Raw genomic sequence first — 26,301 nt, 5'->3', positions numbered from 1 at the left:
ACACAGCCTCACATCACAAACACCTCACATCACACACTAAGCACAATTACACCTCACACACACACCGCACACTCACAGGCATGCACCACACACACACACACACACACACCATGCACGTAGACACACCACACATATGGACACACACACAGATGCACACACACACCATGCTGCATACTGACAAACACAGCCTCACATCACAAACACCTCACATCACACACTAAGCACAATTACACACACACACTCATGTGAATACCTCACACACATGTGTCTTGGGGTGAAGCAATACACAGGCAGACCAGCAGCAGCACGTGCGTGCCAGGAGAGGTGATGGGAGTCTGTGCCTGGGAGGGCAGCAGCGGCTCCCGGTTACACTCAGAGAAGCCGAGGCCCACGGAGGTTTGCGAGTTGTCCATCATGGTAAAGACTGGGTGTCATTCTCAGATTTTCTGAATCCACTGTTCAGTTCCACAGGCCCTGCCGGAGTGCCCACTGTGGGCTGTCCCGGAAGTGCAAGCAGGATGACCACAGGCCTTGGATCCTGGGGAATGTATACGTGTGTAGAACAAGTGTTAGTGATGGATACTTGGGAGTAGGACAGGACTGGCCCACTTGAGGCTGCATCTGGGGATGAAGCTGCCCCTGGTTCATACGGATTCACACAGACAGAGCAACTTGGGCTCCTCATTTCAGTTCTGTCACTTTGCAAAGCTCTTGGTAGAGGGCGAGTTGTCCTAGCCATTCAGTCCTTGTACCTGAGAAGCAGGAGAGAAAATGTCCCAGCACCCAGGGGACATGTGACATGGGCAGTGCCCACCCTGTGCCCCACTGTATCCTTAGCACCTGGTGTGTGCTCAGCAGAACCAACAGATGTTTCCTGAATGAACGCATGAATGCATGAATGGAGGAGCCCAGTGGGCGAAGCATCATTCAGGTATTGGAGGGGACGGTGTGGCGGAAGTGCCCGAGACAGGGAAGGAGGCACCAGCACAGACCAGTGTCACTGGCCAGCTGTCTGCTTATTACCCGTCTCCCTCCTCGCAGGTGCCGAGATTGCTACATCCCGGGGTGAGATGTGGCTGTGTCCTCGTGACCCGGATTTGCCAGGAATTATCTCACCTCACAAAGACTCAGCCCTTGGCCATAAGAGCACCTGGAGGAAACTAGGTTCTAGGCAAAACCCCTAAAACAGCAGCCCTACTGGTGTTGGCCACACCCTCATATGTAAAATGCAGTTTCACCTAAATTCTGTTCATGATTTGTTTTAGGCAGATTAATGACCCCCACAGATGTGTACATCCGAATCCTCGGAACTGATGGATGTTTTAGGTTGTAGGGCAAAGGGGAAGTCAGGAGCTTCTCAGTGACCTCGAGATAGATTCTCCTGGATCATCTGGGTGGGCCCAGTGTAATCACAAGGTCCTTAAGGTGGAAGAAAGTGTCAGATGAGGGAACCAGAGTGCCGGTGGCCCAGTGCGCAAGACTTGCCACCATTGCTGGCTTTCAAGACAGAGAAGGCGGCCGGCCGTGAGCTGAGGCATGCAGGTAGCCTGCAGAAACCAGGAGAGGCAGGGAAGCATACTCTCCGCTGAGACTCCAGGAAGGAGCGTGGCCCTGCCGACACCTTAGCTGAGTGGGCCCTGTGTTGGAATTCTGACCTACAGAACGATAACATCATAAACGTGTGTGGTTTTCAGCCACTAGGTTTGTGGTGACCTGTTACTGCAGCCCCAGGAAGCGAGTTCATGGGCCTAGTGGTCGGAACACAACACGCAAGGTCTGGGTAGCCCCAGCCTACAACAGGGAGGCTCACGGGCCTGAGAGAACCTGCTGGACGTTTATCAACAAAAAGCCTGCAGTGGGAGGTGCTGAGGAACATGGTCCTCAAGGTTTGCAAGGACTGAAGCTGGGTGCCACAGCCTCGGGCTGAGATTCCGACGTTGAGAACAGCTCGGTCTGTGCTGCGGCGCAGGCACACGCACGTGTTTCCACGGTGCACTCTGCCCAATTTCTGTTCTGTTCTAAGAAGAAAAGCGTCCAGACGGAGAGTTCCCAAATAGAGTTTTGGCCCAAAAGCAACATTTTACCGAGTCAACACAGGAAAATTATTTTAAAAGGCTCTTGGGAGAACAAAGATGGCTTTGTATTTGGTGCTGAAACCCAAGTAGGCCACATGCCCTTGTCCTGCAGATCTCGTGTTCTCCGCGTTAACATAAAGGAGTTGATGAGATCCTCGGCTCTGGAACACAGGGAGGTGTGGAGCCTTCTGTAGGGTGCAGGTGGCCAGCTGTTCACCGCCTGGATCTGTTATCCATGTAACGAGTCAGCAACTGGGGAGGTTTAGGGACATGGGGCTTTTGTATGCTGTCAGATACATCCATTGGGGTTCAGAGACTGGCACGGGGGCCTTCCAGCAGGTGGGCTGTGATGCCATTCCTGCCCAGCAGTGCTGAGCAAAGCCAGAGCAGGCCAGGCAAGTCAGAGACACATCAGCGTCACGGGGCTTGAGAAAGCTGGAAAGTGTGTTTTTCCTGAAGCGAAGCTGTCCCACACCGGATTAAACCACTGTAACATGCTTAGCAAATTGAAGTCTCAGCGTAGTGGCCATTGGCTGCCCAAGAGTTGACCAGGAGTGAGCATCGCACCTGCCCCCAGGACTCTCGTCCGCCCTCATTCTCAGTGCTCTGCCTGACGCAGGATGCTAAGCGCTGCATGCACCTTAACATAGTCCCCCTGACTACCACCTGCCACACAGGCATTGCCAGTGTTATCCCCACATTGCAGATGGGGATGCTGAGGCTCAGAGCCGTGATTGGCTGTGAACTCTTAAGTGCTGGTGCAGTGTAACCCTGGGGGTCTGGCTCCCACCCCTCGCTCCTCTTCTCTGCTGGTCCACCTCATGCCCCGAACCCAAGTGCAGTGGAAGGGCCCCTGGACACCTGCATCAGCTCTCCCTGGGCCTCGAGGTGATGCTGGCTGAGTGGCCTTGGGCATTTGGAGCACATGTCCTCAAATTCCAGCATGCACAGGACAGCCTGTGGGTTAATACACATGGGGGCATAGACCCCACAACCAGCCTTGGGATACCCCTTGTGCACCTAACTGCTCTCCTCTGCAGAGGAGAGGCTGTCACCCCAAAGGTCTTTCTCTTTTAGTTTTGTAAAAGGAAAACATATTTTCCCTTCATCTGGAGCAGACTTACCAAACCCCATGACAGTGAGCCAGGAGCAGCGTCAGCATCTAGTACAGCGGGTTCATCAAACACCAGGAAGATGTGACAGAGACAGGCTTGACTTCTATGGGAACTCGGTTCCTGATGTCGTTGTAATATTGGTAATAAAGTTAAACCAAAAAATAATAGATGAAATGAAGTCAGAAAGACATGGTTAAAATAGTTACTGTGAGCACCAGCTTTTGAAATTAGGGTAGGTGGGAAGCCTCAGGGGCCCCCAGAGTGGGGGCTGAACAGACCTTTCCACACAAAGCTAAGCTGAGTTTGCATGAACATCTTCAAGTGTTCGTGTTTCCTCCTGGTGCTTGTACCTCCGTAAACTCACTTTGCCCCATTTGAAATTGCCGTGTCAGAATGTAGCTTCTTCCGGGAAGGTGCACGGTGGAACAGTGCCAGGGAGCAGCAGCGCCCAGCAGGCACGCGTGGAGTGAAGGAGCGTGGTCAGCTCCCAGCTGCAACCGCTGGGTCACAAGGGGAGGGCAGGTGAGAACTCAGGCAGGAGAGGAGAGGCACTTGGGAGGCAGAAATCTGTGCTGTGTCCCCTGGGGAGGCAGGAGCAGGGGACAGGCGGATATCAGAGAAGGAAGGAAATGGTTCTTGGGGTGTTCAGTTGGTGTGGGGTGGGCCAAGGAGAGCAAGGGAAGCGGCTTATCTTGTCCAGGACATAGAAAACTCACTGAAGCCCTACGGGAACCTGCAGCCAAAGAAAACTCAGCAATGCCGATTCTGTCTTTATTTTAAATGTCAATGTTTCTTCCTCAGGGATATTTGTTCACTCCTTTTGTTTTGTAAAAGATATTGCATTAAAATAGCGTTCATCCTGATCCCTGAGCTGTTGCGTGCACCCTTGCGTTTTGCACTTGATGTGAGCTCCTCTCCTGCCTCACCCTGGCCCCCAGGCGAGTTTGGTGTCTAATGACAAGGTTCTTTGTCGCTTTTCCTCCTTCTTTAGAATTCCTGAGACTGAGAAGGAGTTGGAGGTATCCATCAATAATTCCTATTAGTGAAGAATTGTTTCCACTCTGTTGGGTTTTCTGGGTTTGTTGTTGTTGTTGGCCAGGAAGAGATACATTGTATTCCAGAACTTTTACCTAATTTATAAATGTACCAGTTGATAAATACTTCATTATAAATTGATGTGTTTGGACTGGATTCCCTCACAGTGATGCCCTGAAGCTATATGTACTTTGGGTTTGTTGAATTTTACTTCTATTTATTTATTTTGAGACAGGGTCCTGCTCTGTCACTTAGGCTGGGGTGCAGTGACGTGATCACAGCTCACTGCAGCCGCGACCTCCTGGGCTCAAGCGATCCTCCACCTCAGCCTCCCGAGTAGCTGGGACCACAGGCGTGCACTTCCATGCCTGTCTTGAATTTTATTTCTTTGTGGAACATGCCAATGAATGTTATTTAGTTTAACTTTGTTTTTTTGTCTGTTTGTTTTGTTTTTATTCTTAGTGAGGAATTTTGCTGAACACCATTTTGGTTCATCTCTGAGTTTAGGGTGCTTGGGCCGGGCTGCCCACCCCTGAGTTTGTAGTGCCAGCCTTTAGAGGCTGTAAATTCCCAGAAGCTACATTTGAGCACCCAACACATCAGCGCTCAGGAGCAAGAAATGTGAGGCCGGGAGAGACGAGCTCCCAAATCCGACCTGCGTTTGGACATAACGGGGGTTTTTATGAGGAAGGCAGGGATGTGAGAGGGGAGAGCCCAGGATGAAAGCTGCTCACCTTTCTGGGCCAGTCAAACCAGACACCATCAGGGAAGTCTGTGTGACCGAAGGATCATTGTTTTTTGAAAGAAAAACAAGTTCCGTAACCATTCGGATGGCCCCCGAGTTAGGATGTGAAGTCATCGATGACTAGTGATGCCCCTGTACCAAAATAACTGCGGGCAAGCAGGCATGGGAAGAGGAAGGAAAGGCACAGAGAAAGGGAGGGGCCAAACAGGCACCTTATGGTTTGTTTTTTAAAGTCACATAGCCTCCGTTACATGAGGACGGGGGAGTTTGTTTCTTCTATAGGGGACACAGAGTAAACCACTCAAGCCAGTCGGGGGCCTCCGAGTGGGATCCCTGTACCGGGCTGGTGGATGCGGGAGGCGCACGGTGCCCTCCCGAGGAGGAGTGAAGGGACACGGGCACAGCTGTCAGGCAGCTCCAACAGAATCACAGAATCGGTTTTGCCCCACGGTCTGCAGTTTGTTCTCCCTCTCAGTGTCTGAGGATTGCCCAGTTCACTCAGCCGTGGAGACCTGGGCGCTGTTTCACCAGATGGGAGTCCGGCACAGTGCCCGCAGGAAAAGAGCGTGCCTTCTCTGTGGACTTGAATCTTTGCTGCCTTGTGCCGCCCTGGCCATTTGGTTGGACATCCACGTAGAGGCTGCAGTAGGCTGTCTAAGCCCCCAGGAGCTATTGCAGGGTCATTTAATTACACACAACATCTGTCACCCAGATGAATCTGGGCTTCGGCCCCCTTATCTATGACAAATGGACTTGCGTGGGTGTCTGCTGAGGCTTTAGGATTCCCGCCTGAGCCCTCCTGGTGGCTATGGGACTTCAGACTGCCTGGGGCAGGGGGAGGGCTGGACAGGCACTGGTTTCCCCCACGCCTCCCAGCACTGGCTTGGGGAAGGTGCGGCCTGTATGTAGAATTCAGACCTTATAGCATGAAGCGCACACTGCACCAGGTGCCTCCAGAGTGTTGATTCGCCTCCAGGAGACTTGTTTGGAGTTTTGATATTGTTGCTTTGGGGTCCATCTCACCTGCCAGGGCAGGGCTCTCATTGCTGAGACTGCCTATGTCAGTGAAGCTGAGGAGCTCCTTAACTCCAGTGATGGGAGTAGCTGGCTGAATGCAACCCAGGGCCTCCCTCCCTCTTCCAGTTAACTAGGCCGGATTCCAGATTTGTGACCCTGACGAATTTTGCAAGGGTTATATTTTTAAGAAGCTTAAAATGAAGTCTATAACAACACAGAAGTCTTACATTTAACTCTCTCCTTGGACAACTTCTTATTGTGCTCTCTGGGTAACACACTTTCAGTTTAATCCCTGTAGATGTCCCTGGAGGATATGACATAGACGAGGAGCCAGCCCAGGGTGAGATCGGGTAGCATGGCTGTGCTGGCACGTGGAGGGTAAAGGCAGAGCTGAAGGTCTCTCTCCCCACCCTCACCCCCCAGGGCGGCAGTCTCCTGGTGATGTGCCTGCCCCAAAAGAGTGGCAGCCAGAGGAGTCCCAGCTCTGACCTTGGTGACAGAGAAGGATCTGCGTGCTGTGGAGCTGGGCTGCCCTTCTTGGATGGCTGTCCCCCGAGGAGGGGCCCAAGGATCCACTGAGCCCCCTCCAGACCTGCAGCACTGGCACCTGGAGCCCAGAGCGTGTCATGTCTCCGTATGTAGAGAGTCTGTAATTTCTAAGAGAAAACCTAGCACAAAATGGAAAAGTGTGGCAGAAAGTCAGGAAGAATTGAGTTCAAGGGAGCACAGAACCTCTGAAAGGGTGGGGTGGGGGCAGGGGCCAGGGGCCAGGGCAGCCACCATGGCACTGGCCTCAGGGGACTCTCTCTGAGGGGGCTAGCCTGTCCTCAAGCCACTGAGGAGTCCTTATTCACAAAGACATGTACTTTGTGAATTCTTTTCTGAAAAAATTACATTTCCAACTTACTAGAACTTGCAACAGCACAGATGAACCTGGAGAACATTATGTTCAGTGAAATAAGCCAGCCACACAGAGACAAACACTGCATGATCTCCCGTACGCGTGGAACCTAAAAATGTTGAATTCATAGAAGCAGAGTAGAATGGGGGTTACCAGAGGTTGGAAGGGACTTGGGGGGATTTTGGTCAAAGGATACAAAGTTTCCCTTAGACAGGAGGAGTCGTTTTAGGATCTGTTGTACAGCACAGTGACCATAGTTAATAGCAATGTGTATTTCAAAATTGCTAACAAGTAGATTTTAAATGTTCTCATCAGAAAAAAAGATCGGTATGTGAGATGTTAATGGTTTGATTTAACCATACCACAGTGTATACATGTATCAAAACATGACATTGTGCCTCATACTATATACAATTATTATTTGGCAATTAAAATTTAAATTTTTTAAACATCTCCAAAGCTACGGAAGGAGGAAGGCCTCTACAAGGCCAGCTCAAATTACGGCTGTCACCACCTTCTGTCAAGTGTCACATTGTCCTGTGGCCTAGTTGACCCATCCCAGAGGGATATCCGGCAGGTTCCAGGCAGGTAGCACCTGCCCAGGACACATGTGGCTCTGACGATGTCTGCCTCACCTGTGGAGGGTCCATGACTATGGGAGAAGGTCCCCCAGTGTGGGTGGGAAGAAGCCACGTTGTGAGGTGGGCTAGCAGCTCCCCGATGACTCATGAGTACCACGTTTGTGCATGAACGGAGGCTTCTTTTCCAACTCCAGCTGCTCGGGCATTGCTGCATGCATGCACACAGGCCATAATTAGACCATGGCAGTGTGCATTAAAGAGGCCAGTGCCACACTCATATTTATAAGCTCTGAAACAAACTACTTTTTTTTTGAGACAGGGTCTCGCTCTTTTGTTCAGGCTGAAGTGTAGTGGTGCTATTGTGGCTCACTGCAGCCTCAACCTCCTGGGCTGAAGCAATCCTCCTGCCTCAGCCTCCCAAGTAGCTGGGACCACAGGGGTACACCACCACACCTGGCTAATTTTGTTTCTGTTTTTTATAGAGCTCAGGCTAGTCTCGAACTCCTCCCACCGTGGCCTCCCAAAGTGCTGGGATTACAGATGTGAACCACCACGCCTAGCCCTGAAACAAACTATTTTCACATGTTGTCCCTGTTCGTTTTGTGTTGCTATAAAGGAATATTTGAGGCTGGATAATTTACAAAGAAAAGAGATTTATTTGGCTCACGGTTCTGCAGGCTGTACAGGAAGCATGGCACCAGCATCTGCATCTGGTGAGAGCCTCAGCTGCTTCCTCTCATAGGGGAAGGGAGAGGCGAGCAGAATCACAGGGGTGAGGAGGGGGGTGCCAGGCTCTTTTTAACAACCAGCTCTCACAGGAACTAATAGAGCCAGAACTCTCGCACATCCCCTACACCCCCAGGGCAATCATCTATCCATGTGGGATCCACCCCCACGACCCAGACACCTCCCATGAGGCCCCACCTCTAACGCTGGGGATCGGTCTTCAGCAGAGGTCTGGAGGGGACAAACATCCACACTATAGCACATGTCAAAATTTTCCCAGTGTGTATTATTACACAGGACTGCAGAGTGAAGGAATAAAATGATATCTAAAGAAATACTTCCAGACAGATGTCTTAGTGCTAGTACCTGTCTGGCACACTTTGGGAAAGCAAGTACCCCTACTAGTAAGCATAAGTGTCATAACATATGACTAAAACCAAAATCAGAGCTCATTCTGTGGCATTAGGTTGTTATTCCCTTCATCAGAAATCCAAAAATGTTAAAACAGTTCTTGTTCCTATTTACAATAGGAAAGGTATTCAATCTCAAATCATTGGGCAGAGTGTAGGGAAGAGGCTGTCACTCTCTCTTCTCAGCAGGTGGCAGGGAAAGCCCAAGGTCGCCATTCATTAGATGTTAAACATCGGACTGGAGGTGCCAAGTTGGCGCAGGCCCTCCCTCCGTGGGCCTGTGTCTTAGTCACGTGGACGGTGGTGTCCTGTGGGCTGGGCTGTGTGGCTGTGGGCTGTGTGGCTGAGAAGGTGGGGATGCCCTGGCTGATTCAGTCCCTCAGAAGGGGGCGCTGCTCATTGTTGTATGCTTGCGCGGTCACATAAGATACCTGGGATATAGCCAGTTGTAACCTACACAATTTTCCCAAAGAAAAAACAATTGTTTTTCCTAAATAAAGATAGGAGAGAACCACTGTGATTTAGCAATGCCCATTTCTCAGCACTTCCTATCTCCCAAATACTCTAAAATTGGGAGGTATGAGCCAGTTGAGTTTTGGGCCTTCCTTAGAGCTGCTGTTCCGACCTCCAGCTGTGAGTCTTTGGACGTTGACTCAACCCCCTCTTCATCCTGATAATGGGAATGGCACACCTTCCAGGGACACTGCCAAGACTGACTGGTGACAATGACCCTGCAATGGCCTTTGTGGAATCCACGTGTGTGGCCTCCAGAGAAGATGACCATCTGCATGGCCCTTCTCACTGTATTTTACCCAAGGAGGAAAACTCAGTTTGTAGTTAGTTCTGCGTTTCAGCCTTGTTATCCATTCTCGGAATATTACCGGGTAAAGTCAGTTTCGCGAGGGCACTGCTGCTGTTGATGCTTGACTGGGAAAATTGACGTCGGCTTCCAAGCCGGGATTCACAAAGGTGTCTTAGGTCACTGCACACTGTGCCCAGGGAAATCATGTCTCCATGGTATATTTTGATCCATGTGTTAAAGTCCCCTCTATTCCCAGGGCTGGATCTTCCAAGACGGGGCAGTGTTTGTTTGCTTAAGGTACTTTACTGATCATACTCTGTAGCCCATTACAATTTAGGGATATTTGCAGTAAATATGTTATGGAGAAATATTGTGATATTTTTTGGAGATATTTCCAGAGATTTTTTTTTTGCTTCTTATATTTATTTATTTATTAAAGAGGTTGCTTTGTGATTTTTAATTCTGCGTGGTAGGAGAAGCCAGCCTCTGGGCAGGGTGATGTTAGTAAGGGACTGATCGGAGGGTGAGTGCTTTCAGTAAGTTGTTGCAAGAGAAGCCTCAGGGAAAGGCACATCTGAGGGCTTTGACCCAGGCTGCCACCTTCACATGAGTGAGAAAATCAATCTGCCTGTCTGGCTTTTAATCCCCTCATAATGAAAAATGAGAGAGAGGGACCTTATAATCAGTGAAGCCTTTTCATCTTCAGAATTCTGATTTAGAGGAATCAGGGGACTCTGGGGAAATGGTGTCCTGGACAAAACCCTTCTCTCCCTCCCATACACATCCTGAATGAGGTAGCTGCTGTATCCCTGGGCATCTGGGGCAGGACTTGGGTTCCCTGGGTCCCTAGACAGCACTGGTGGGGCATCGGAGAACCCTGGGGTGAGTCCCACAGAGCAGAGCATCTTGGAGGAAACTTGGGCTTGCAGAGGTCTGGGGGCCTCCAGTGGAAAAGAGGTCAACTGTGCATGCAAAGGCGACTGGATGCCCTGGTTCCCCAGGCTGATTTTCCCTTGCTTCTGAGGGAGGATTGGGGGAAGTTATGTGCCCACAACTCTTGGGAGGCCACTTCACCTTTTCTAAGAAAGGGATCTGCCATCACTTTAGAAAGCTGACCCAAGCATGCTATGCTAACCAAAATAGTAACCACTCATCCGCAGGGTCCTGGCTGCCAGGGAGCGGAAGAGGGTTTGGACAAACAGAACTCACACCCAGCGAAGTGGAGCTGCTGGGGAAGACCTGTGGCCACTTACAGAGAACTACTTATAATCACTCAGGGAGCACAATGAGCACTTAGAAGGGGAAGTGGGGAAGGTGGTCTACAAAAATAGGAACAAAAACTGCACAGTACTCAGAAACTTAACAAGAGGCTTAGGAGCTTTATGAAGAAAGTGGCGATATCTTTTTAAAGGGTGTAAGTGTGCATGAGGCACTGCAGCATCTCCCAGGGCCCTGGGTGGGATGGGAAGAGCAGGTATGATTGCAGTGCTCATTCTCCCAAGAGCTGCATGCATTTCTATCTGGAGGCTTCTCTTGGAATTGAATAAAATGGCCTTAACATTTATGATGCCTCCAAATGAGCCAAGACAGTCTTAAAAATAAGATTGAGGCCAGGTGCAGTGGCTCATGCCTGTAATCCCAGCACTTTGGGAGGCCGAGGTGGGTGGATCACCTGAGGTCGGGAGTTCGAGACCAGCCTGACCAACATGGAGAAACCCTGTCTCTACTAAAAATACAAAAATTAGCTGGGCATGGTGGCGCATGCCTGTAGTCCCAGCTACTCGGGAGGCTGAGGCAGGAGAATTGCTTGAACCTGGGAGGTGGAGGTTGCGGTGAGTCAGGATCGCACCACTGCACTCCAGCCTGGGGAACGAGAGCAAAACTCCATCTCAAAAAAAAAAAAAAGATTGAAAAGGAGCAACTTTTTGTAACAGATATTGGAACTGGGGCTGCAGGTGAAGTTGTGCAGGTAAAGATGGTCTCAGCGATGAGAGCCCTGCCCTGGCAGGGGAGATGGAACTCAAAGCAACAAAATTGACATTCCAAACAAGTCTCCTGGAGGTGAATTAACACTCTGGAGGTGCCTGGTGCAGTGCGTGCTTCGTGCTCTAAGATCTGAATTCTAAACGCGGGCCTCACCCTCACCAGGCCAGTGCTTGGGGGGTTGGGGTTGGACATCCACATAGAGGCTGCAGTAGGCCATCTAACCCCCGGGAGCATTTGCAGGGTCATTTAAATACATGCAACATCTGTCACCCACGTGGGTCTGGGGTTGGCCCCCTTTTCTATGACAAATGACCTGCATGGGTGTTTGTTGAGGCTTTGGGGCATCCCGCCTAAGCCCTCCTGGTGGCTATGGGACCTCAGACTGGCTGGGGCAGGGGGAGGGCTGGTGGCCACTGTCTTTGCAGAGAGCAGAGCAGGACCTCCCCAGTGTGCTGGCCCAGGGCCCTGTCTCTGGGCTCCACCCTGAGCAGGTACCTTTGCATGAAGACTCCTCTCAGCGCTGAAGCTAATGGTGGCACTGATCCAACATACTGTACTACCATGCCATGTGGGGTTGACATGAGAAAGGACAAGTAGATTAATGGAACCTAATAAGCCCAAATCAAATGATATTATCTGTAACAGAGTGGGTATGTAGGTTCAGTGGGAAAAGAACTAGTTAGCAATATTGACACAATTGGCTGTCTGGAAGAAGCAGCATTGGATGCTCAGGTCGTAACAGAGGAAAATGAACATCAGTTGGTTTGACCATTTAAATGTTTGTTTTAAAAAAAAAATACTCTGCACTCCTCCCACAAAAAACAAACAAGCAATACTTGGAAACAACATGTATAATACAGGGACATAGGTGACTGTCTTAGCCAGGCCTGGAGAAGTCAGATATATTTACCTATATAAACATCTGAAAGGATTATATAACAAAATTATGCTACAACTAGAAATGTTAAAACCGACAAACCATGGCTCTTAGAGAAAAATATTTCCAAAGCAAAAGACAGAAAAGGGGTTAATATTTTCAATATGAATGCTCTCACAGGTTTCGTGGTCAAGAAGAGAGGAAAGAATACAATAGAAAAAGTGAGGGAGGCCAGGCACGGTGGCTCACACCTGTAATCACAGTGCTTTGGGAGACTGAGGCGGGAGAATTGCTGGAGCCCAGGAGTTTGAGACCACCCTGGGCAACATAGCAAGACTCCGTCTCTACAACCAAGTTAAAAAACTGTTGGGCAGGTGGTGCATGTTAGCTACTCCCAGCTACTCCAGAGGCCAAGGTGGGAAGATTGCTTGAGCCCAGGAGGTCGAGGCTGCAGTGAGCTGTGATTGTGCCACTGCAGTAAGCTAGATTGTGCCACTGCACTCCAGCACGGGCAGCAGAGTGAAACCCTGACTCTAACTAAATAAATCAGAAGAAGAAGAAAAAAAGAAAGATTGAAGGGGAAACATGCAGAGTTAATTCACAGAGGAGCCTGCCAAGTGGTCTGGGTGGCAGGGAGATGCACATTAAAAGAAAAGTAGATGTCCTGCCCTAGCCAAGTGTGGTGGGGCACGCCTGTAATCCCAGCTACTGGGGAGGCTGAGGCAGGAGAATTGCTGAACCCAGAAGCCGGAGGTTGCAGTGAGTCGAGATCGTGCCACTGCACTCCAGCCTGGGCGACAGAGCAAGGGTCTTGAAAAAAAAAAAAAAAAACACTTGCAGGGAGGTTTTAAAAAGACGAAGCAGCTGGTTTTGCAGAAAAAAGGGCCTGGAGACTCTTAGATACTGACGGAGGAGTGTGAATTGTTACAGCCTCTTAGGAAAAAATATTTACAATGCAAAACTTCTCCGTAGGAATAAGGAGCGCACAACTCCGGCCCATTTCCTGGGATTGTCATACCAATGAATGAATTAATGCATAAGAAATTACCTTGAAAACTCTAGAAGTGCCCCGGAGTGTTTTACATCCATTACTAGTGGGCAGTATTATTGAGATGTCTTGAGGTCTACTAAGATACTTTGAGAATGTACCATTATATGCAGAAAAGGCCACAGTAGAAATGATTTGTCAGAAAAAAAGTTTCATGTTAAAACTTACTAAGAGGTTTGTAAGTGATACTGTGTTTAGGCATCGTTTTGCTTTCGCAAACTAGTGTTTCCTGGGGAAAATAGATTTAATCTGGGTGTTCAGTGTTGCATTGTAGTGAGTAATTATGTGATGTGAGCATAGCATGGTGTGTCACTTTCTCTGGGCTGAGAGACTCTGCATCCTTTCTTCATTCTAAAAAGAGGCCAGAGGCCCTGCCCTCTGGGGGTGAGTTCCGCTGGGACAACATTCAGCCCTTTCTGACTTACCACAGAGCGACCAGTATTTTCCATTCAGCTTGACTCATTTGAGCAGTCTGCTCCATGCACACATGTGCTTCCACACATCTGGGACATTTCTTAGAGCTCACATCACCTCGAGGAGACATACAGAATAGAAAGTAGTTCAGAAAATACATTTTGTGCATCTAGTCTACACTACTGTATTTTTGGCAATTTTGGTATCAGAAGATTCACTCCAGAAAAAGCACTCCAACTATCATTTCTCACTGCCTCTCACTTTTAGTATTAGATTCAGAATCCATTAGCATGTCTCACTGAAGGAGCAGATGTTTCAGTTTATGGTGGAAGGAAGACACATTCTGGGCGTTATGCAACATACTTGGCTCACGTTCCCACTGCGGATTTTGCCATTGCTGTTTCAGTGCTGAGTTCTCACCTTCATGATTTTAAAAATACATTGGTTCTGTAAACATTTACTTAATAATCCATTTTCCAGAATCTTTGTCCTGGGTGTTTTAAAGCAGCATTTCTCAACCGGGAGCGATTTTGCACCCCCAGGAGGCATTTGACAATGTTTGGAGCTGTTTTAGGTTGTAACAACTTGTAGGGAGGGAGCCCTACTGGCATCTATAGGAGGAGGCTGGGGATGGTGCTCAGCAAAGTGCAGAGCCCAGAGCTGTCCACCATCAAGGATATCCAGCCCCAAATCTCAACAGCGCTGATGGCGGAGAAACCTTTGAAAGCTATTGTTGCTGGCATTCTGGGCTTTCTACTTCTCTGCCTGATGTATAATGAGTGTATATGAAATCTGCGATAATTTTAGAGTCTTGTTTGGTCTTTTTTAAGTGATGTAAAATTATTTTCTCTCTGTCTCTGTCACACACACACACACACACACACACACTTCTTTATTGGTCCACCATATGAAAAATAAATTCCAAGAAGGGTTTTCTTATTCCCAAGGCATCGGCCTTGGCACTAATGATTATTCCACAAGATTCTTGGATCTCTTGTGGTGATCCTCCCATTTAGGGCTCGCCTCACTGTGTCCTGGTTTCACATTTGCTGTTTGTTTAAAGTGTTACACACTTCTCCTGTTAGTTGGCCAAAGGAGTCCCCCAGGCTGACCTCACTTGGGAGGCCTCAATCTAGTTGGTCTGCATGTTAGGTTCATTAACATGTCTTCTTTTTTCTTAAAAAATGTATTCTGGCCAGGCATGGGGGCTCACTCTTGTAATCCCAGCACTTTGGGAGGCTGAGTCAGGTGGATATTTGAGCCCAGGAGTTCGAGACCAGTCTGGGCAACATGGTGAAACCCCATCTCTACAAAAAATAAAAAACAAATTAGCTGGGTGTGGTGGTGCACACCTGTCGTCCCAGCTACTTGGTAGGCTGAGGAGGGAGGATCCCTTCAGCCCTGGGAGTTGGAGGCTGCAGTGAGCTATCATCACAGCCCTGTACTGCAGCCTGAATGACAGATCAAGACCCTGTCTCAAAAACAAACATCCCCGCAAAATAACACATTACCTGTTTCATCTATAAGGCACAAAGCATCCGGATTTTTCTAGGTTTAGTCGAATGTAACACAGATTTAATTGGAGCTTTCTCTTTGTAGGGATTAATTGTTCTCTTCCAATGAAATAATACAGAATGATACTAAACACATAATCATATTTTATATACCACCGCACCTCAAGCAGTACTGTCTGTGTTCTCCATTTCATGGAAATCCTGTAAGCAATCTTACCATCTTTCTAATAAAAAAATCAAAGTAACAGCTCTTGTTTTAATTCCAAACCACAAATCAAAGACAAGATATAACACGCTGCTCATTTGTACTATTTCTGATTGTGTTAGTCAAAATCAGACACTCACTTCAACAATAATAGTGAGGAAAAACCATGCTCAAAAAGAAAACAGGAGATGTGAAGTCAAAATAGTGGCCACGGCCTCTCACTTAATTGAACAGTCACTGTTGACAGTCTGGTGACAGCCAGAAGAGCGTGAAGCGGGTGGGACGGGAGCAGAGGGCTACGGGGAAATGGGTCAGTGTCTGCTGGGGGAGACTGTAGCGATCCTACAGACCCCCGTTCTGCAGATCAGGAACTCGGGCACTCAGAGTCCAGGCTTCTGGGCTGGCGCCCTGTCTTACTGGGGATGAGTCATCAATGCACTTGAGACTGTGTGTGCACCGTGGCTTTGTGACCCTAAATGAAAGTAGTGGCCAGATGTGAAGCACCCTCGTTAATTATTGATCATTCCAAAGCCAGCTGTTTAGTGCTGCTCCTACATGTTTCCTGCAGGAGGGATTTTGTGAGGAAGGGTGTGGCGGCTTTGTGCAGAAGGAACTTGTCAGGTGGCCAGGCTGGGGCCCCTCAAGTGTCAGGTGTGCCCTGCCCACGTTGGGAGCACCTCTCAAAGCCACCAAATCAGCCTGATTAAAGCCAGGGGAATAAACAGCTACCCTGCCCTAGCGGGAACTCTCTCAGTGGCTTGTTTAGCCCAGAGGGAAGTCCCCAAGGTGATCCTGGGGGAGGGCAGTGTCCTTCTATGGCCACACCTCAGATGGTCCCAACTGCAGGTGGTACCAGTGAGGGAGGAGTTCATCCCTCATCTATGCAGGCCGATGTAGGGGGCACTTCCCAGTTTGTAGCAAAAAAAACACAGTTTGGTGACTCCTGATCTTGGACAAGCCCCCTCCAGTTGTTTGCACATTGGAAGTGGTTTTGGCAAATGGACTGAACTGTGTTACTCCATGTCTGTGTCAAACACTGGCACAAATCTGGAACTGTCTGCCTTTCCTCCCACCTTTTTCTTTTCTTTTTCTTTTTCTTTCTTCTTTTTTTTTTTTTTTTTTTAAGAAGGAGTCCTGCCCTGTCATCCAGGCTGGACTGCAGTGGCGCAATCAGGGCTTACTGCCACCTCAACTTTCCCAGGCTCAAGTCATTCTCCCACCTCAGCTTTCTGAGTAGCTCGGACCAAGGTGTGCCAGCACACCTGGCTCATTCTTGTATTTTTTGGAGAGATGGGGTCTCACTATGTTGCCCAGGCTGGTCTTGAACTCCTGGGTTCAAATGATCCTCCTACTTCAGCCTCCCAAAGTGCTGGGATTACAGATGTGAGTCACCATGCCTGGCCTCCACCGTTTCTCAAGCTTAGTGATATTTTATCTCAGACCACATTAGTCTCTGCACTGCATAATTTTAAAGGGAAAAATGGAAGAACTTTTTTGCTTAGCACTTTATAGTCTTCATGAGATATTCCTCCTTTAGGCTACCAGATCAGATGTGCTTTCAAAACCAAATCTCTCTAAGGCTTCCCAGACCCTGGAGTCACCCAGGTTTGTGTGACTTTTGGGAGGTCAGTCTCTGCGCGTTTGGTTTCCATGTCTGTAAGTGGGAACATACTGTCAGGATCGTGGGAGGGTTCACTGAGAGAGACTGTGAAATGTTCTGTGCAGGCCTGGGTCATAATAGGATATCCAGCACAGCTTTGCTGATTTTTTAATGTTGTTATTACAATTAAGATGATAATGGGCCAGGCACGGTGGCTCACACCTGTAATCCCAGCACTTTGGGAGGCCGAGACGGGCAGATCATGAGGTCAGGAGATTGAGACCATCCTGGCTAACACGGTGAAACCCCGTCTCTACTAAAAATACAAAAAAAAAAAAAAAACTAGCTGGGCATGGTGGTGGGCGCCTGTAGTCCCAGCTACTCGGAAGGCTGAGGCAGGAGAATGGAGTGAACCCAGGAGGCGGAGCTTGCAGTGAGCCGAGATCACGCCACTGCACTCCAGCCTGAGGGATGGAGCGAGACTCCGCCTCAAAAAAAAAAAAAAAAAAAAAAAAAAGATGATAATGATGTCTCAATGCTGAGAGGAATTTAGCGTCTAGAGCTCCTGCTGGTGTGGCCTAAAGACCTGTCCCAAGCTCTTAGTCGTCCATGGCCTTTGTAGGGGAGGTCCACTTCTGAAGAACAGTTCTGTCGTTCAAAAGACTACATGGTCTTGCTACAGCTGGGCATGAAATGTGCTTGAGTGATGCGCAAGAGGACTGTCTGCCTTCATGGATGTGCCACTGGAAGTTACTGTCTCCAAAAATGGAGTAAAACTGCGGTGGTGACGGGCACACATTCGAGATGTCCTTCCAGCCGTGTTCACTCGGCCGTGGGAGGTGAAGGCCGAGGTGTGGAGGCAGACCTGTGGCTGCTGGCTGGGGTGGCAGGCACCCAGGAACCCTGTGTCCTCCGGGCCCTGTGTGGTCAGCCCTGGCCCACCCTGATGCCGTGTGCTGGCGTGGCACCTCTCTGCCCCCAGCCACAACGCCAGCTTCCCCGCCTGGGCACGACCTTGCCTGCATGGCCTGTGCTCAGCCCTCAGCTCTCCTTCTCCCCACACTTCTCCCTGGTGCTCTCAGTGATGACATCCACAGTGGGGGCTGCTGTCACCTCTGTGCTTAAGACCCCCAAATATTTCTGTCTCCATCTGCCTGTCTTCAAAGCTGGAGACACCTCCGGAGACCGGACCCCGCACAGCCCCACCAGCTTCTTGAACTCAAAGTTGGTCACTGTTGGACTCTGTCCCTTCTCCAAGCAGACCCTGCCCCTGGGCGAGGTGGGTGGTGCCCCCATTCCAGCCACCAGGGCCAGAGAACTGGATGCCCATTCAACGATGTCCTCTTCAGCAGCACAGCCAGACTTCCCCAGCCAGCCGTTCTTCCTGTCTCTAGAGGTCCGTGCTGATAAAAGCCTCAAGAAGGGCGTGGTTGAGTGGCTGGTATTAAGAGTGTTGTGCCAGTGGGCTCGATTTCTGTCTTGGGGGTATGTAGAACCTGTGCATGGGGATAAATTGCAGGGTGAGATGCCTCTCCTGCCACTCACTGCTTCTGCCTGCCCTTCAGTTTCTGTCACTACAGCCTGTGAGCTGCTCCTTCCAGCCAGAGTCACGAGAATGGACGTTATTAAGTGTATTCGTCAGCTCAGGCTGCCGTGGCAGTGGACCACAGATGGGGTGACTTCAACAGCAGGAATGTATCACCTCGCAGTTCTGGAGCCTGGAAGTCAGACACCGAGGTGTGGGCAGGATGGGTCCTCCTGAGGCCCCTCCCCTCGCCATGTTCTCCCTGTCCTTACAGCTGTGTGCGCACGCCTCTGCTGCCTTTCTCTTATAAGGACCCCAGCCACATTGCATTTGGGCCTAGCCTTATGGCCTCATTCTAACTTTAATCCTCTTTAGAGCCTCTCTCTCCAAATAGTCTCTCGGGGGACACAGTTCAGGGGACATTAGGAAAGGCTGTTAGGGAAATGCAGCCAGTGGTGACATGGCAGGGTTGATGTGGGCCCAGGCTCCTTGCCGGGTGCTCCAGCTGGAGTGGTTGCAGGATTTGGACCCCTGAGGCATCTCTTGCCTTTTTGGTCTGCTGCAGTAAGGAGGGGCCTGTCCCGCTGTTCCTTCATAAGGGGCTCCTGAATCTGAGTCTTCCAGGGTCTGTCCCTGGTAGGGATTCCCATGGACTGCAGGGCCTTTTCTTTTTCTTTTTTTTTTTTTTGACACGGGGTCTCGCTCCGTCACCCAGGCTGGAGTGCAGTGGCGCGATCTCGGCTCACTGCAGCCTCCACCTCCCGGGTTCAAGCGATTCTCCTGCCTCAGCCTCCTGAATAGCTGGGATTACAGGCACGTGCCACCACACCTGGCTAATTTTTGTATTTTTAGTGAGATGGGGTTTCTTCATGTTGGTCAGGCTGGTCTCAAACTCCTGACCTTGTGATCCGCCCGTCTTGGCCTCCCAAAGTGCTGGGATTACAGGCGTGAGCCACTGCACCTGGCCAGGGCCTTTTCTTAGAAGCCAGCGTCCTTTCTGCAGCCCATGAGGAACCCCTTCCCCCACTCCCACAAACCAGGACAGTGACCTGAGGTCTGCACGTGGCACCCCCATCTCTCCATGTGTGGAGGGTCCTCAGGGGGGAATCTCCTTCAGAGCCCAGATGCCTCCCCTGAAGTTTCTATTTTAAAAGCCTCCTGGATGGGGCAGGCAAGCTATTGTTTTATGATTACAAAGCAGATGGAAACTGACTTTATTTTGGATGAGAGTTATACATGGAATGTAGTTAACATAAACTGAACAGAGACAGTGCCTTGCGGTGTCTCTCCTCCTCCGCCCAGGGTGAGGCCCAGGACTGCCCGGTCTCCTGGGGACCCCATCGCAACAAAGCCTGCCCCGCCGATGCTTGGGCATAGGCTGCCTTCCTCTGAGAGCAAACTGTGACTGAGCATTGGGAAACTTTCTTCCAAAGGGACAGGCCCTTTCAAATGGCTTCGTGTCCTCTGCAGGAGCCCAGCAGACGCTCATGAGAAGGAAGAAGGACAAAAAAGCTTGTAATGACATGAAGTCAAGGCTTGACCTTTGGAAAAGGAAGTAGGCACATGGCTAGATATGTCAGTGTCTCAGTCATCATAGCTTCCTGTCTGTGCTCAGAAGGGGTCCGACTGGCCTTCGTAAGCTGGACGGCCTGGGGATGGGGGCCACTGCCATGCCTCCTCTCAGACCTCGGGCTGGGGCCTGAGGAACGAGCCTCTGCATGGCCAGAGGACCCCATGGTTCCCTGGACTGACCATGCTGGGACCACATGGCCTGCAGGTGACCGAGCTTGTCACAGCAGGAGAAGCAGCTCTGAGGAATGCTTGGGTAAGCTCAGGAAGAACAACTTTGGGAACACTTTCAGGGGCTTGACTCCACAGTCCCCAAAGGGCGCTCTCTAGCGGTGATAGCTTGCCTTGCATTTGTTTTCGAGGTCAGAACCGCATCATCTAATGTATCTTTGTTCCCAACGTAGTGCCCCAGAGCTATGCTTTGTACATAACTGGTTTGGTGGATCTTGAATTAGAGGATTTAAAAAAAGTAGAGGCTTAAAATGGCAGGGGACACTCCTCTCTTCAGCATCTAGGGCAGCCGATGGTTTCCTAGGAGCCTCTGGAACTTTGCCAGGGGGGGGTCCCTCAAATCCACACAGGGGAATTAAATAGAAGAGAGAAAATTGGCGTGTGGCTTCCTAGCTCTGCAAACTCTCCATACTTCTCATCCAATGCTCAGGGAGCTGATAGATGTGGCCCACACAGTCCACCTCCAGATACAAACCAAACTCCTTGCTCTCTTGGAACTCGGGTGAGAGTAGAGTTTTATGGGGGGTGTAGGATGGGAGGATTAGTAAGATGGTTATGGTAAACATGAAATGTGTTTTAGTGCTTTTTACTCTTTTACAGTATCACCCAGAGGACAGATTTTTTGTTTCTTTGTTTTTGAGATAGGGCCTCTGTCACCCAGGCTGGAGTGCAGTGGTGCCATCACGGCTCACTGCAGCCTTGATCTCCTGGGCTTAAGTGAGGCTCTTGCCTCAGCCTGTCAAGTAGCTGGGACTACAGGCTCGTGCCACCATGCCCAACTAATTTTTTTTTTAATTTTTTTTTAGAGATGGGGGTCTCACTATGTTGTCTAGGCTGGTCTGAAACTCCCAGCCTCAAGCAATCCTGCTGCCTCAGCTTCCCAAAGTGCTGGGATTACAGGTGTGAGCCATGGCACCCGGCAACCCAGAGGATTTCTCAATGAGATTTCCTCTCCAAGGTATGTTTCCAAGGTGTAACATACCTTGTTCAGATAAATTTATGTTCCTCCACTTATTTAAAAATGGCCAAAACCGCCTTCAAGGAACTCTTACAAATGACCTTTGTGACATTAGTTAGCCTGTTATTCCAGGAAAAAGAATTAAAGAAGAAATCTAAAAATTATGTTTTAATCTAAATATCTGTTGATAGTGACTCGTAGGTTCTGCAGGCTGACTGTATTGGGTGTTGTTCTAAGCAGGTGGCTTGGAATGTGTCCCTGGGAGGTAAGGGGGCCTTCCAACTGCCAAGTATCTCCCTTACCTGCTGCACTTTAAGTCCCATTTGGCTTAACGTGGCTTAACGTGTTTTAATTATTTTTTATTACGATGAAACATGCAAAATATAATATTTAATATTTTAACCATTTTACATTTTTTAAATTATAAAATGCACATAAAATCTGCCATTTCAACTATTTTTAAGTGTACCATTCAGTGACATTAGTGATACTTACGGTGTGGTACAATCATCACTACTACGTATTTCCAAAACTTTTCCATCACCCCAAACAGCAGCTCTGTGTCTATAAAATGGTAACTCTCCATTCTGCCTCTCTCAGCCACTGATGGTGCCTAATCCACTTTCTGTCTCTGAATTTTCCCCCACTGGGCACCTTATATTAAGTGGAACCGGCAAGAGTTGTCCTTTTGTGAATGGCTCATTTTACTTGGCACAATGTCTTCAGTATTATAGCACTTCTCTTCATGACTGGATAATACTCCATTTTGTTTATTATTCACCTGTTCATGGATACATGGATTATCCTACCTCCTAGCAATTCTGAGTGATGCTGCTGTGAACATTGGCTTGCTATACCTGTTCCAGTCACTGCTTTCAGCTCTTCTGAGTGTAGACCTAGGAATGGTCATTTTAACCATTTTGGAGTGAAAAATTCAAGTGCATTCAGTGTTGTGCAACTGTCACTAATTCCAGAATATTCATATCTTCCTAGAAAGAAGCCTCTTGCCGTTAAGCTGTGACTGGTACTCCCTTTTCCCCCAGCCCTTGGCAGCCACAAATCCACTTTCTGTCTCTATGCATTTGCTTGTTCAATGGAGTCATACAATATGTGGCCTTTATGAATACTCTTTTCTTCTTTTACTTTGAGTGAGCTTCAGTGGTATGAATATTCTTTTTTTTTTCCTTCTTTTTTTTTGAGACGGAATATCACTCTATAGCCCAGGCTGGAGTGCAGTAGTGTGATTTCAGCTCACTACAACCTCTGCCTCCCAGGTTCAAGTGATTCTCCTGCCTCAGCCTCCCAAGTAGCTGGGACTACAGGCACGCACCACCGCACCCGGCTAATTTTTGTATTTTTAGTAGAGACAGAGTTTCACCGTGTTGGTCAGGCTGGTCTCAAACTCCTGACCTCATAATCTGCCCGCCTCGGTCTCTCAAAGTGCTGGGATTACAGGCGTGAGCCACCACACCCGGCCAAATATTCTTTTTAAAACACCTGTTTATTATCAAAATTTTCAGCCTATGCAAATGTAGAAAGAATTGCCATATGAGCCCCACGTGCCCATCACCCAGATCCAGCCACGACCAATGTCTCGTGAGTTTTGTTAATCAAAATCTGTTTTCTAGGGAAGAAAAGAAATACGTGAACCGATTCTGGAAAGAAATCCACGTGGGAGACTTTGTGCGTCTTCGCTGCAACGAAATCTTCCCTGCGGACATTCTGCTGCTCTCCTCCAGTGACCCCGACGGGCTATGCCACATCGAGACCGCCAACCTGGATGGAGAGACCAACCTGAAGCGGCGGCAGGTGGTCCGCGGCTTCTCGGAGCTTGTAAGTGACCCACGTTTCCAGGGCCTTGCAGGCATTACAGCCACACAGTGTCCCCATGACAGCCTTCTGGGGCTCAGAGCACCTGCATTTTCCTGTCTGTCAGACCAGGCTGTTTTTCCTAGTAGACGAGTCTGAGGGTCTGAGAGGACCCCTGACCTACCTGAGCCCATGACCCGCCTGTGACTGTGGGAAGCAGGATTCAGTTTCTCTGACTCTGATTTCTTTTGTGCATGTCTAAGTTTCGCAGAATGTTATTTGTTCCTGTAAAGTTACAAGGAACATTTATGAGCAGCTGATGGTCAACACGTACCTAGCTGTTTCACTGGTTTACTAAATGGCAACGCAGCAGGAGTCATGGCCTGTTCCCACCAGGATGCTCAGGAACATTTTCTCCTCAAGGGTGTTTGGGTTCAGCGCGAGGTCTTCGTAGCTGAATCCTGCCTCTGGTGTGCCCTGGCCACCGTGCAGCAGGGTGAGGGGTGAGAGGCTGGAGGGAAGCACGTGTGACAGCTGCACACACCGACTCCATTGGGCTGCCCAACATCTGTCCCTGCTCCAGGGAGAAAGGGCCCCACCCGCCAGGTCTGTGCCGGGAGTGTGAGGTGCTAATGCCAGGTGAACTGACAGGGGCAGGAGCCCTCAGAGATCAGGAAGACCCTACAAGGAAATGGGCCTGGCCCGAGCCTTCTCCTCCCAAGCCTCCTTCTCCCAGCCCTGCTCTGGCCTAGACAGCAAGTCTGAGTCGGCCTGCCCTGAAGGGTGGGGAAGCCGGCCTCTGGTTCACAGGGAGGATGCCACTGGGCTTTTCCTCCTCTATCAGACAGTGCCCTCCCCCATCGGCCTCGGCACCAGCCCATCGGGCTTCCCTGGGGCAGTGGGCTCTGCTGTCTGTGGACCTCAGCGAGGGCACTGTAGGGAGTGGGGCGGTGAGCGATTGGCTGGGCAGGGTTGTGGGGGGCTCTAGCATCCCTGTCTCCGCTCTAGATGCCCCCGGTCACCGTCACAGGGGGAGATGCCTGACACACTTGCAGCAGGCCAGGTACTCCGCACCTCGCCCGCCCGGCCTGCCTGCGGCAGGCGTCTGCCTGACTGTTCCAACCGGGCTGATTTCCGCCATGATTTCCTCATTTACTCTGTGTGTGTGTGTGTGTGTGTGTGTGTGTGTGTGTGTGTTTTAACCTTCTTTTATGCCAAGTGTATTTTTGTGAGCTGCCTCAAATCTTTTTGGAATAAGGCAAAGCAGACATAAAAATTAAAAATAGTATTTTTTGTTGTTGTTAATGGAGTGCTCTCATTTAGATCAGGAGAGCTGGTGAAAGAGTTAGGGGCCCCTCGAGGCACAGCCTGGCGGCGCCCAGCTTCTCCATGACTGTGCTCCAGGGTTTGGTGATAGGTGTGGGCCCCATCCGATGCCACCCCCTCGCCCCAGGCCCTCGTGCCCACCCCCCACCCCCGGCTCTCTTCAGGAAGTCAGGGGCGTGAGCCCGTCTCACTCTCAGCTTCTCCCCTAGGCCTGGCCCCGTCTCCTCTGCAGGGATGTGAACTAACACTGACATCAGCCAGGGACAGCATCCCCTCTCAGTTCCCGGGGTCTCAGCTAGAGTTAGGGGCAGGCAGAGGGCTGATAGCTCGAATGTCACCTCTGAGAGGAGCAGCCTGTGCACACAGAGGGTGAGTGCCACTTAAACAAATGCAGATGAGTATCTACTGGTGAAACCTCAGACAAGGTGGAAAATACAGCAGAATTTAAGCACTGGAGGGTGGAGCATGCACACTTGGCATGGCAGGTAGGGGAACGCCGCAGATAGATCTCCTTGATCAACTCTCAAGAATAACTTCCTCTACTGGGCATGGTGGCGCATGCCTGTAATCCCAGCACTTTGGGAGGCCGAGGCGGGTGGATCACTTGAGGTCAGTAATTCGAGACCATCCTGGCCAACATGGTGAAACCCCATCTCTACTAAAAATACAAAAATTAGCTGGGCGTGGTGGCGCATGCCTGTAGTCTCAGCTACTCGGGAGGCTGAGGCAGGAGAATCGCTTGAACCCGGGAGGCAGAGGTTGTAGTGAGCCGAGATCACACCACTGCACTCCAGCCTGGGTGACAGAGCGAGACTCCATCTCAAAAAAAATAAAGAAGAACTTCCCCATTTCCTATCTTCTGATCTTCAACTTCTGAACCCAGTCGTATCTACAGTCCTCTCCCGCCCACTTTTTACCCAAACAATAACTGCAGCACTTCATAGCTCGGTGGTGCTTTATATAAATGAGCTGCTTACAAGTTAGATGTTTGAAACTCGAGGACGGCTGCAGACCAACACATCTACGTCACCCTTCTCAGGGCCCCAGGAATGCTGAGGAAGTAGCTTTGAGCCATGATCTGGTCAAAATGGCCAAACTAACAGCCTAAACAATTCTGAGGGTTTTTAAAAAATTGTTTTATTAGCACCAAAATTCTTTACCTGCATGCACATTCTGGTCCCAATTACCTTTTTCCCCCGACTTTCTGGGTTTTTTTTTTTCTCTTTCCCTAAAGGTCCAAAGACATTTTTTTGGTATCCAAATTCCCATTTATGCATTATATTCTGAAATCTATGAACCACCCCACTGAAAGTAAAGGAAGCAAGTCTCTTGACTTTTAAACCCCAGCAATTGAAAAACCACAAATGCCAAGAACATTTAAGTACTCTGTGTTTCAATTAGTTTTTTTGTAATACTGAGTTAGCTTGTCTCAGACAGGTTAAGAACTGGTAATAATCTGTACACTGACTTATGTGAAATACAATATAATATTTTACCAGTTTAATGAATGATCAGTTGGAAGTGGGAGCCCCTTTGCAAATCACTTAAATTAGAAGTGATTTGCAACGCTTAGGTTAAGGAGAAGAGCGGGCTGTGTCATTAATGCAGGAACTTAGGGTATCCAGCGGGGTCCAGTCAGGAGACAGAAACCACACATGATTCAATCAGAGAAAGTCTGATGTGAAGAATTCTTAGTTGGGGATTGGGTTATAAGAAGTAATGATATGTGAATTATATCTCAATAAAGCTGTTATCTTTAAAAAAATAAATAAAAAAGAAATAAAGAGGACCCTGAAGAATATAGGAGCCAGGAACAGTGGCTCACGCCCATA

General features: G+C 49.4%; 1 protein-coding gene across 9 annotated transcripts in view, besides 3 other annotated features; it reads left to right on the top strand.

Annotated features, from left to right (window-relative positions):
* ATP10A (ATPase phospholipid transporting 10A (putative)) overlaps window positions 1-26,301 on the top strand; it is a 192,852-nt gene that overhangs the window by 60,903 nt on the left and 105,648 nt on the right. For 8 of the 9 annotated variants that reach the window (XR_001751368.2, XM_011521828.3, XM_005268261.5 and 5 more), the window contains one exon: window positions 22,963-23,167. Coding sequence is in view for 4 of the 9 variants with exons in the window: in XM_011521828.3 (XP_011520130.1) it covers window positions 22,963-23,167 (205 nt within the window). In the remaining 5 variants the exon portion in view is untranslated. Of the gene's footprint in view, window positions 1-22,962; window positions 23,168-26,301 lie in introns of those variants that run through there. The other variant, XM_047432892.1, reaches the window with a different exon arrangement.
* Window positions 1,169-1,668: an enhancer, noted in NCBI's record as "H3K4me1 hESC enhancer chr15:26047665-26048164 (GRCh37/hg19 assembly coordinates)". NCBI's record gives its function as "activates a minimal SCP1, AML or CMV promoter by ChIP-STARR-seq in primed H9 embryonic stem cells {active_cell/tissue: H9 hESC(primed)}" and the evidence as "EXISTENCE:reporter gene assay evidence [ECO:0000049][PMID:30033119]".
* Window positions 1,876-2,009: a silencer, noted in NCBI's record as "fragment chr15:26047324-26047457 (GRCh37/hg19 assembly coordinates)". NCBI's record gives its function as "represses an EF-1alpha promoter that drives an FKBP-Casp9 reporter gene in an ReSE screen in phorbol 12-myristate 13-acetate-treated (for megakaryocytic differentiation) K562 erythroleukemia cells {active_cell/tissue: K562(+PMA)}" and the evidence as "EXISTENCE:reporter gene assay evidence [ECO:0000049][PMID:32094911]".
* Window positions 13,790-13,889: an enhancer, noted in NCBI's record as "active region_9163". NCBI's record gives its function as "activates an Ori minimal core promoter by ATAC-STARR-seq in GM12878 lymphoblastoid cells {active_cell/tissue: GM12878}" and the evidence as "EXISTENCE:reporter gene assay evidence [ECO:0000049][PMID:35858748]".

This window comes from Homo sapiens, chromosome 15 (genome assembly GCF_000001405.40).
Source record: "Homo sapiens chromosome 15, GRCh38.p14 Primary Assembly".
In the NCBI taxonomy this organism is placed as follows: Eukaryota; Metazoa; Chordata; class Mammalia; order Primates; family Hominidae; genus Homo; species Homo sapiens.
The sequence above is the reverse complement of the archived record's forward strand: the minus strand, read 5'-3'. Positions and strand labels throughout refer to the sequence as shown.